This window comes from Homo sapiens, chromosome 6 (assembly GCF_000001405.40).
Source record: "Homo sapiens chromosome 6, GRCh38.p14 Primary Assembly".
In the NCBI taxonomy this organism is placed as follows: Eukaryota; Metazoa; Chordata; class Mammalia; order Primates; family Hominidae; genus Homo; species Homo sapiens.
Window position 1 is genome coordinate 160,781,944 of NC_000006.12, and position 12,022 is coordinate 160,793,965.

Below are 12,022 nucleotides of genomic sequence, written 5' to 3' on the forward strand. Positions count from 1 at the left end.
ATAACAGGAAACCTCTTAGGCTTGACTCACATTCTGTCTTGTCTGCCAACATGTAAGACATGCATTTGGCCTTCCACCATGATTAGGAGGCCTCCTCAGTCACGTGGAACTGTGAGTCCACTTAACCTCTTTTTCTTTATAAATTACCCAGTTTTGGGTACGTCTTTATCAGGAGAATGAAAACGGACTAAAACAGTATCCAACACCAGGACGATGCATGCACATCAACTAATACTAAGGGAAGATCCCACAAGCCTAGAGTGGGGACTAGGCTGGGAAAAGGCTAGGACTTAAGGCAGGAGCAAGAAATCTAGACAAGGAAAAAAGGCAGAGACTTAAGACAGAGGTGGGAACTTCAGGAAAGAGTTTGATGTCATAGCAACTCAATGCAGAACTCTTGGAAAGCTGTTGACTCTCTCCCTTTCAACAGCCTGCTCTGCCTTATCTTTCAGAGCATACTGTCTCTCTGTGTAAATTCTCTGCTCTCTATCTTCCTTCCATAAATTGTCTTTTTTGGCTAAATTAGTCACTTAGCAGAATTCTTTCTCCGAAGTAAGACAAAGATCTGAGGATTCTTCCACTTCCAGATAACACTGTATTCATTAATATAGTAACACAGGAGTGGTGACATCATTCTAACCTGTTTATCAATCTAGTTAATCTTTTAATATATTGAAATCTGTGAATGGAAAAGTTTTTTATATAATTTCAACTTTTGAGATTTGGAGGTACATAAGCAGGTTTGTTACATGAGTAAATTAGCCTCTTTTGGCCTCTCACCCTGTGAAGATTGCGTGACACTGAGGTTTGAGGCACAAATGATCTCATTACCCAGCTAGTGAGCTTCATACCCCACAGGTAGTTTTTCAGCCCCTGCCTTCCTCCCTCTCTCCCGGCTCTAGTAGTTGCCAGTGTGTCTTTTGTTGCCATCTTTACGTCCATGTTTTGAAGTGTTTTCTTCATTAAATATCTTGATTCATAGCTATGCATTCTGCTTCCAGTAAAGCAGAAAGTTTTATTTGACTAATATGAACCAAATAGATAAAAAAAGAACTCATGACAATCAGACTTGGTTAACTGACCATTTGATTAACTGAGCATTTGTTCCATTTGGATCTCCCACCTCTGGGTCAAGGAGAGCCTCTGGATGACTATGTGAATACCCAGGGGGCTTCGTGTTCAGTGTCACTAAGAAGGAGCTGGGGGCAGGAAGTATAGAAGAATGTGCAGCAAAATGTGAGGAGGACAAAGAATTCACCTGCAGGTATTTCCATTGTCGTTGCACCTACACAGGAATCTGTAATTCAGATGGCAAGTTATTTATTCACAAATTTATTAATGATTTAAGAGAAAAGAGGAATTTATAGAGTCAGGGTTTGGAACTATATTTGCTCACAGTATCTGAAGCCACACTAACAGCTTCTCATTAAGTTTTATTGGAGTCCCCTTTAGAAAAATACCCCAAAAGGAAGTTATTTATTTTTACACCGGACATAAACATTAGCAGCTATTGTTCTTTGCTCTAGTTTTTAACATCATGATTATCAGTAAATGTTTGTTGAGGATCATGTGAATGAAAGTGTCCTAGATAGATCTGAGCAATGACTTATAGCTGCAAGATCCAGTGCCTGCCCTTTAGTATTTAAGGTGTAGTCAAAGAAACTGGACATAATGTTTAAAAAAAAAAAAAAAAAAAAAAAAAGCCCAAGTGAGGTACTGCGAAGTGGCATAATCAATGCATGCTCTACCCAGATCCAGAGGAAAGAACAGTGCCTAAGGTTGAGGCAGCTAGAGGAGGCTCAGGGAGGAGGCAGGAACTGAGCTGGGTTTGGAGTTGAGAGAGCTCTTGACAAGCACCAGGAAGGCGGGGGATGGTGTGGCCCTGCACCCTCTGATGGGGACCATTAAGAGATCGAGTTGGCTGAAGCATAGGCTTTGTGTAAGTGATGGGCCTGGGAAGGTAGCTATGGACGCCAGACTGAGCACCCACGGCAGGACCATGTGGATGGGGACGGGAGGGGTCAGGGGCCAGGGCAGGGTGGAATGTGGAGCAGAGGTTCAGGGGAAGTGATCAGAGTCGGGAGGTCATGGAGACGAGCCTCCCAGAACTGGGAGACAATAAACTTATGTCATTGAAGCCATGCAGTTTATGACCCTCTGTTATTGCTGCCCTAGCAAATGGATACAGGTAGCCATTTAGATTGTCTGCTGAGCCCACTAATGTCTGCTGAGCCCACTAACTAATGATTTGATAAATATATACTCATGTCTGCCTCTCTGGGGATTTGTGATAGTTTTTTTGAGTTATATGTCATAAAATAGGATAGCTGCATCATCTGGTATACATATGATCAAACTCACTAAATAATGACAGATTTCTCTTCAGAATCACTCTATCAATTTACGCTTCCTCCATAGTGCAGGGCTATTGTCCATTCCCCAGCTTCCTGAGCATTTTCAGATTTGTCAGACTTTTGTCACGTGCTTTTAGTATGCCCTGCATTTCCCCTGTCTGGAAATTACATATTCCAGACAATGAATATTCTATTCATAACAATGAGTTTTTCTAATTGAAGTGTAGGATGATTCTCTTAATAATCAGAAGCTGTGCCATAAGTACTTTCTCCCACTGTTTGCTCTTTTTAATCTTTTATGCTGTTCTTTGATAAATGGAAACTTTCATTATTCTTTGATAAATGGACACTTTTATTAATATTTTCCTTCAGAAAAAATGCATTAATCTTTTCCTTTATGGCCTATCAATAGAAATATATAGCTTAGGAATTATCTTCCTATTCTGAAATCATAGAGCTAACCCCACCAAATCTTCTTCAAAATGTTTAAGATATGCTTTACACATTCAAGTCTCTGATTCACATAGAATTTTTCTGTATGGTGTGAAATAAGGACAACATTTGTTTCCCATGCTTCAGAAATATTTATTGTCTGATCCATTTTTCCCATTAGGGTGCAGTGCCAGGGCCATGATACATCATATTTTCATGGATTCATATTTCCATTGGCATTTATAGTTGGCATTTAAAGTTGATAATTCCAACTTTTATAACCACAAAACATGACTTTGAAGAAAGGTATATAACTTTATATTGTCACCATATATGCTAGAATTGCAATGTGTAGAACAACTACTATTAGAGAATATTGTCAGTTATAAACTTGTCACATAAATATATAAATATTATAGCTTAAATTTTTCCAGAGTATCTGTCTTTTGGTCTTGTTTCACAGACCCTGTCTTCAGCAAACATGTGTATCAGACAACTCACCAAATAATAATTTATATTTTGATTATTTTGCCAAATGTAGGTGCTACAAAATTCAAAGATTTTTTATATTCCTTCAATTTTGATACAGGATATAAATTGATTTAATTAAATGTAGGAACACTATAAGGTGATTATTCTCACAAGTTAAGATATTCCACATCACAAGTATGAATTTCAATATTGAAATTTGTACATCATATTTTTAGATACTCAATATTACAGAATTTATAAAATGTTGCTTAATGTATATGGATTTATTAATTTTTTGAAAAAATGATTTTAAAATTTGGTTTTCATAAAAATATTTTATAGGCCCACCAATATAATAAAACTAATTTTTTTGATCAGCAAATAAATATGTTGTTAAATTATATCATTTAAATTATTCTTTAAAGCCTCCTTTCACTCTCTAGAGTACCCTAATTGGATAATAAATTATATAGTCAGCTTATGTGTTCCCAAACTCAAAAAAAAAGTGCAACAGTGAACATATGGCAGTGGGATCCATCCATTTACCAGATCAACCAAAACCTCTCTGCCTGTAAGACTGGTCTCTTTTTTAAAAAATAAAAAATTAAAAAACTAAAAAGCTATGGTGTTGGTCTGGGGATGACACCTTCCAAAGTTTTGGCTCTGCCCTCAGAGGTGCATTTGGCTCTGTCCTCAAAGGTGCATTTTCATACTTTGATGTGTCTGTCCTACTGAGAAAGTTTATCAACTCTACCTCACAGAACTGAGAACAAATGCTGAGAGAGCTAGTGTTTTACCAAGATGAACTTAACCAAACAAAGAGATAGAAACCAAATGCAAAGCCAAGAGCCTTACATATAGATAAAAATGGAGGAATGAGAAAATAGCATTTATCCAAGAATCATGAGTTAATCGTCTTACCAGGCTTTAATCAATTTAATAATCAATATAATATTACATGCATAGTTCTTCAAAAATGTCAAGGAAAACTCTTTCCCATGGATTTTAACTGCTTGAATTCAGAGCATAGAAAACAGAAGAAAACTTGAGTGTAATATTAATAAAGACCCTTTAAAAAAGATGTTATATAAAAAGAAAAATCGCAAGCCAGTGAAAAATACATGCAAAATTCTAAATAACATTTTAGCAAACAAAATCTATGTTTAAAAGCATAACACACAAAAAAGTGAGATTTTTCCCTAGTATGTAACAGTAGTCAGACATTTTATCAAGACATTTACAAATAAGCCTAAAAATAGATGTCTGAGTGCTATTTATGAAATTCAAGATCTATTCCTCCCATCCAAGCACTAACCAGGCCAACCCTGCTTAGCTTCCGAGATCAGACAAGATCGGGCGTGTTCAGGGTGGTATGGCCGTACTCAAGAGCTATTCCTAATGAACTAAAAAGTGTCATAAAATAAGAATACAAGATTATCACTGAAAAGAAGTTCACAATTTCATGCACACACATAAAAAAGTTATAGGCCCAAAGCAATATAAACATGAGAGCCTAGGGGAGGTTAACAGCATCCAGTCTGGAGCCAGAGAACTTGAGGGTTATTCTGAGTTTCTCATTTCTCTGTGATCTTGAGCAAGTTATGGGATTCTCTTTGCCTCAAGTCTTTATGTTGTTAAATCAAGTTTAGACTAAAGCTGGCTTTTTACATATTTTAAGTTCAGCCTAAACGTTTCTCTGTACATAGTGAACTATAACCTCAATGAAGATGTAAACAGACTGAAGCCTATTTTTATGCCAATCACCAAGTTTTAGCCAATCAAGGGCTAACTGTTCAAACCATGTTCAAGTTCAAATAAGGCAAATGCCCGCTTAGCTGCAACCAATTTGGTTGTTTCTGTACCTCACACCTGTTTTCTGCATGTCATTTTCCTTTTTTTCTGTCCATAAATCTTCTACCAGGTGGCTGTGCTGGAGTCTCTGAGCCTACTCTGGCTCAGGAGGCTGCCTGATTCACAAATCATTCTTTGCTAAATTAAACTCTTATATTTAATTCAGTTGAAGTTTTTTCATTTAATAGATGGCATCAGAAGTGGGATCCAAAGTAGATCCTCTAATGACCCCATGAGTGCTGAGTGACTAAGCAAGGTACCCACTGGACCCATCAAGGACTAAACTCTGATATTTTTTATCTCGCTCAAATTCCTATCTAAGGGGCCTAGGGAGTCATGCTCTACAAACCATAAATTCTCATCAGATGGGGTTTATTTAACTCTGTATATCGTGACTTACTTTCCAATCTGACTCTGGCACAACAAGGAAGAAAATCAAAATATTTTACTCCAAAACATGTTTCTCTGCCATATCTTGAAATGGCCCTGCAAAGCTGTCCCTCATGGAAAAAAATTCACATTCTGCAGAGAATCCCCTTCCCACCGCCCCTCCACTGCCTTTTTTTTTTTTCCCCCTTCCTTCCTTTCCAGATCCAGGGAATAATCAACTAAGAGCCAGGCATCCTTTTAGGTCTGATAAGAAACATTTCACAACCTGCTCTCTCTGAAGTCGGCTATCCGAGACCTCCCTCTGCCCAATAAAACTTGGTCTCCACAATCCTTTACTTTTTTTTTTTTTTGAGACGGAGTTTTGCTCTTGTTGCCCAGACTGAAGAGCAATGGCACCATCTCGCCTCACTGCAACCTTCGCCTCCCAGGTTCAAGCAATTCTCCTGCCTCAGCTTCCCAAGTAGCTGGGAGTACAGGTATGTGTCACCAGGCCCAGCTAGTTTTGTATTTTCAGTAGAGATGGGGGTTCACCATGTTGGTCAGGATAGTGTCGAACTCCTGACCTCAGGTGATCCACCCGCCTCAGCTTCCCAAAGTGCTGGGATTACAGGTGTGAGCCACTGCACCTGGCCACACAATCCTTTATCTTAGCCTAAACATTTCCTTTCTATTTGTAAAAAAGTAAAGTAGAGGTTCCTCTTCAAAGACTTTCCTCCCCGCCTAATTAGAAATAAATAGTAACTTCTCTTAGAAGCAAAATTTATTCAAAGAACTGTACTAACATTCTTAAATATCTGCTAGCCGTAATAAAGAAATCAATGTACTTTGTGTTCTTAGCTCCCACAATTTAGACTAAATATTTGCCCTGACATGCTTATACTGATCCAAGCAAGCATTAGGTCATAGCCAGTTCCTCTTCCTTATTTAAAAGTATTTTTACCTTTCTCAGCATTCCACAAGTTACTTCCTCCTTCCTTTGTTTTCCTCTACCTTTGCCTCTTTTAAAAAGTTCTAAGTTGTTAGCCAATCGGGACAAATACAGAATGTGAGGTCCCATTCCAGCCAATAGAAACCAGACACAGCAGTAGGGTGGACATGTCAGGTTATAAATGACCCTGTCTCCTTTGTTTGGTGAACTCTCATGGCAAAACTGCTGGTGAGTGTACCCTTTCTGCAGGAAGTAAAAATGGCCTTACTAAATAAATTTATGTTCAAGTGCTATTTCTTTATGGCACTGGGGAACAAGCATTTCAAACAATTTGGTGTCAATCCGTACAGGGATACATTCTCCTCTAGGGGTGGTCTCCAGTCCTCTCTCATGAGGGAGCATGCTCCCCTACCTCATTGAAGGTGCCTCAGGGATGAGAAATTGAGACCCACCCAGTGTGGTGAATAAACCCGGACTCTCAGCAATGCAAAAAAATAAAAAAGAAACTGGCCAGCAATCTAGCTTAAAGGATCTTCACATACTGCAGCGACAACTCTGTGCACAGACCAAGGAAGGAGAAGCCGCAGGAGCTGGTAAAGTATTTCCTTGATGGTCAGATGGTAAAGCATTCCTTGGTTAGGACATACCAAGGAGAGAGAAACTGCAGGGGTGGTAAAGTATTCCTTAGTCAGGATGTCTTGGAGGTTAGAAAGAGGTGAGAAATCCCCATGAGGGGGGTTAAACCTCAGAGAGAGGTGAGAAATACCCAGGGTGGGGGTTGAACCTCAGAAAGAGGTGAGAAAGCCCTGGGGAGGGGGGCGGGGGTTGAACCTCAGAAAAGGTGAGAAATCCCCGGGGGGTGGGGGTTGAATCTCAGAAAGAGGTGAGAAATCCCCGGGGGCGGGGGGGGGGGTTAAACCTCAGAAAGAGGTGAGAAATCCCTGGTACGGGGGTTAAACCTCAGAAAGAGGTGAGAAATCCCTAGGGGGAGTTGAACCTCAGAAACAGGTGAGAAATCCCCAGAGGGTGTTGAACCTCAGAAACATGTGAGAAATCCCTGGGGGTTGGAGGTTGAACCTCAGAAAGAGGTGAGAAATCCCCGGGGCGGGGGTTAAACCTCCGAAAGAGGTGAGAAATCCCCAGGGTGGGGGTTAAACCTCAGAAAGAGGTGAGAAATCCCCATGAGGGGAGTTGAACCTCAGAAACAGGTGAGAAATCCCCGGGGGTGGGGGTGAACCTCAGAAATAGGTGAGAAATCCCCAGGGGGAGTTAAACCTCAGAAAGAGATGAGAAATCCCCAGCAGGGGTTGAACCTCAGAAAGAAGTGAGAAATCCCTAGTGGGGTTGAACCTCAGAAAGAGGTGAAAAATCCCCAGGTTAGGGGGGTGGTTGAACCTCAGAAAGTGGTGAGAAATCCTGGGGGTGGGGGTTAAACCTCAGAAAGAGGTGAGAAATCCCCGGGCAGGGGGTTGGTTGAACCTCAGAAAGAGGTGAGAAATCCCTGGGCAGCGGGGTGGTTGAACCTCAGAAAGAGGTGAGAAATCCCCATGAGGGGAGTTGAACCTCAGAAAGAGGTGAGAAATCCCCAGGTTGGGGGTTGAACCTCAGAAAGAGGTGAGAAATCCCCATGAGGGGGGGTTGAACCTCAGAAAGAGGTGAGAAATCCCTGGGCAGCGGGGTGGTTGAACCTCAGGAAGAGGTGAGAAATCCCCATGAGGGGAGTTGAACCTCAGAAAGAGGTGAGAAATCCCCAGAGGGGGAGTTGAACCTCAGAAAGAGGTGAGAAATCCCCACGAGGGGGCGTCGAACCTCACACAAAACTCCTGTAGTAAGAAAAATATTCAGAAGCCCCCTTTCCTTTCTTCTTGGGTTAAGAAAGAGTAGCTCCACTCCCACCAGTCCTTCCCCTAGGGGAAGGGGAAGGGGAAGGAAAGGGGAAAACAGCAGCATAGGTGGCTGGCAGAGACAAAGGAAAGACCAGCAGAGAAGAAAAAGAAACTAGGAGAGGAAGTCAGAGAGAAAGAAAGCAAAAACAGCAAGCACAGAGCCAAACAGCCAGGCAGGCACACCAAGGGTTAAGTATCTCTCCCCAGCCCAGCTCTATGTGAAAAAGATGGTGGGGACAGGCACCTGGAGGAGAGCAGAGGAGGTGAATGGGCATAATTCTTGCAATTTGCACCCAGCACGAGAAACTAAGTGTAAGAAGAAAGGAAAGAAAGTAAAAAGGGGAATTGGGAAAAAAAAAAGAGAGAGAGAAACAGAAGGCAGTGTGTGCACGGGGGCAGGGCCCATAGAAATTGGGAGAAGAAAGGGAAACGGGATGACAGAGAGAGAGAGGAAAATAGAGTGCAAATGAGAGAGAGAGAAATAGAGGGAAAGAGTAAGTAAGAGAGAAACCAGAAGAGACAGAAATCAAAGAAAGACACAGAGGGTGAAACTAGGAAAAGAAATAGTGTAAAAAGAATGCAGAAAGTTAAGACATGTTGAAGATTGTCTGTGAAAGTCATAAGAAAAACTATAAAAGGGAATTTATGCAAGAAATATTGTATAATTTAAAAGTAATTACACCTCCTGAATATAAATTATTAAAAAATAGTTTATGTACAAGGTATGTAAGAAAAATAAAATATACTTTTAATAACAGGATTATAAGGAGGCATAAGAATATGGATTTTTACCTACATTAAAGTTTAAAAAAAATTTTGTTTTAAAGGTTTAAGCAAGTTTTAAAATGTTAATTGTAAAGGAAATTCTGTGTGTAAACATATTGGCTAAAGTTAAATGGGTATCATCCAGTTTTTCTGTGAACTGGACATTAAAATAAAAGCACAATATATTTTTCTTAAAGCACTAAACTGCTCTTTAACAAAAATTACAAAAAGTTAAAAAAAGTCTATAAAAGTTTTACCTTATAGTCAGACATTAAAACTGGATAATGTCTACAAGATTTTATTATAATTAAGTTTAACATTAATAGCACATTAATATAAAGGTAAAATTTAACTTATCTAGTATAAAATCATACAAAAACATTGCCAAACATAAAATGGTGTTTAGCTTTCTTAAGGCCTGAAGGCAGCCAGGTAAGTCACAAGGCCCCTCATCCCCAAGGCCACAATGCGCAGGGGCGGTAAAGGCCACAAGAAGGCCAAGACATTAAGACGGGGCAGGGCCACAGAGTCCCCTGGGTGGTGCTGAGCAGGAATGGAGCAGTAGGCATCACCATGAGGCCTCAAGCCCCAGTATATGCAGCAGAAATTATATACTTAATTTATCTTCCACTTTCCCTTCCCTCGAAACTAGAAGTCTTTCAGCACAGGTACCACCCCTAGAATTTCCCGTACATCAGCACCAGCCTGCAAACCACGTCCTCATCAAAAGCTAGAAAGAAGAAACTCAAGCCAGCCTGGGAAGAACCCTATTTTATGCTGTTAACCACTGAGACTGCCATCTGCACAGCTGAGAAAAAAAAAAAATTGGACCCACCATACTCAAGTCAAGAAAACATCTTCCTCTCAGAATCATGGGTTACTGTACTAAGATCAAGCCCTACTAAGTTAACGTTAAAGAAAGATTAATTTTCATATACGTTCTATATTTCTTCCTTTCCTTTCCTTATTCTGTTACTAGCTCCTTTATTAATAATATAACTAAGTCTGACTCACCTAAGTCTGACTCACCTATTGCCTTTAATACTTGCTCTGTCATACCTTGAGGAAATGTAAAAGATCAACAACAACTAGCCTTTTCACACAAATATTTATGCCCCAGCACTCTAGTTGACACAGTTACCCCTAGCACTCATTGTTGTAATGACCTGCAGCCAAGACGCTGATCTTCTGCTCCTACCGCCTGGCAACCTTGTAGTAAATGGGACTACATCCCTTAAACTACCCAGGAGCAAAGCTGGATTTCCACGAAAAGGTTTCTGCAGATCTAAAACCCCTCATCTATTTCACTAAAAGGACTACCCCTTCTAACTGTCAGCCTTATCTATATAACCCTGTCCTTCTCTTTATCACCCCTTCCACCTTAACTAACTCTAGACCTGCCCTTAGTCACTTCTATGGTATAAGAATTGACATAAATAGAAAAGACTCCCCGACCCCAGGTATTTTAAAAATATATATTATTCCGCCATCTTCCCCTTCTTCGGTAGCCTCAGATCTAGATCCCACAACAGTTGCTCCTACATCTAATAAAGCTAGGGTGTCTATTGTAAAAATAAGAGATCTAAAACAGACCTTAGCCATCAAGACAAAATATCAAGATGCAAATGCCTGGCTGAAATGGACTAAATAATCCATTCGCACTTTAAATAAAAGCGATTATTATACTTGTACACACCGTAGGCCTGAGGCCCAGATTATCCCCTTTCCACTCCGATGGTCTCCTTGTCGACCAGATATGGACTGTATGGTGGCTGTTTTTCAAAATCCCACAGCTTGGGATAATCCAACATACTGAGCTCTCTCTGCTATATCCTGAAATTCAACACCCTGCGGGTCAACCCCTGAGGGCAATCCAGCTTCCACTTCTGAATGCCAAGTTTACTTCATGCCTCTCACGGCAGGGGTAAAATTTAGTGTTCCTTGGAAGCATAAAAGGATGCAAGGAGCTTAAGCCTTTCCAAGAGCTTGCCCATCCGTCCTCCCCACACACATTTATGGTGGTACTGTGGAAGACCTTTACTGGACACTCTGCCAAATAATTGGAGCAGTACTTGTGCTCTAATCCAATTGGCTATCCCCTTCACCCTGGCATTTCATCAATCTAAAAAGGTAAAAACAAAACACCACAGGCCAAGAAAAACTCTTTATAAGTCTTTTAATCCTCAGGTTTACATAAATGCTATTAAGGTCCTGTGAGAAGTGCCAAATAAGTTTAAAGCACAAAATGAAACAGCTGCAGAATTTAAATGCATGTTATTCTGGTAAGTATTAAAAAAAAGTAGACTAAATAAACTATATCTATTACAATCAGCAATAATTCATAAATTACACTGAGGACACCATCAAAGAGATGGCTAAGCAGTTAGGATCTACCAGCCAGATGGCCTAGAAAAATAAATTTTAAAAAATAGCTTTAAATATAATATTAGCAGAAAAAGGAGATGTTTGTGTCGTAATTAAAACTCAATCTTGGAACCTCTGCAGAAAAAAATTGATTCCTCGGCAGTGTCATGAAAGCAAACCAGTTAATAAAGCTACAAAATTAATGGCTCAATTGTAACACAGTGGTGATGCGTCTAATTCCCCACAAAGACCAATAAATTAAATGTCTTATACAAAACTCAATATTGTACCTTTTTTCCTAATAATACTGCCCTTGATGGAACTATAGCAAAAGCGCTACAAAGGTTAACAGCCCTATCCAATAAACTTGCCTCAGGAGGTCCTGACCAGACATGTGCCCAAGGTGGTCAGAGCACAGTTTGGTTTTACACATTTTAGGGAGACATGAGACATCAATCAACATATGTAAGATGACCATTGGTTAGGTCTGGAAAGCCAGGAGGGAGCTTCCAGGTCATATACAGATAAGAAACAGATGGTTGCATTCTTTTGAGTTTCTGATGAGCCTCTCTAAAGGAGGC

General features: G+C 40.1%; 1 pseudogene, besides 3 other annotated features; it reads left to right on the top strand.

The window, feature by feature from the left end:
* The window catches only part of LOC107986665 (plasminogen-like protein B), a 124,780-nt pseudogene that overhangs the window by 8,015 nt on the left and 104,743 nt on the right, over positions 1–12,022 (top strand).
* Positions 7,338–7,857: an enhancer, noted in NCBI's record as "active region_25404". NCBI's record gives its function as "activates an Ori minimal core promoter by ATAC-STARR-seq in GM12878 lymphoblastoid cells {active_cell/tissue: GM12878}" and the evidence as "EXISTENCE:reporter gene assay evidence [ECO:0000049][PMID:35858748]".
* Positions 7,898–7,947: an enhancer, noted in NCBI's record as "active region_25405". NCBI's record gives its function as "activates an Ori minimal core promoter by ATAC-STARR-seq in GM12878 lymphoblastoid cells {active_cell/tissue: GM12878}" and the evidence as "EXISTENCE:reporter gene assay evidence [ECO:0000049][PMID:35858748]".
* Positions 7,958–8,467: an enhancer, noted in NCBI's record as "active region_25406". NCBI's record gives its function as "activates an Ori minimal core promoter by ATAC-STARR-seq in GM12878 lymphoblastoid cells {active_cell/tissue: GM12878}" and the evidence as "EXISTENCE:reporter gene assay evidence [ECO:0000049][PMID:35858748]".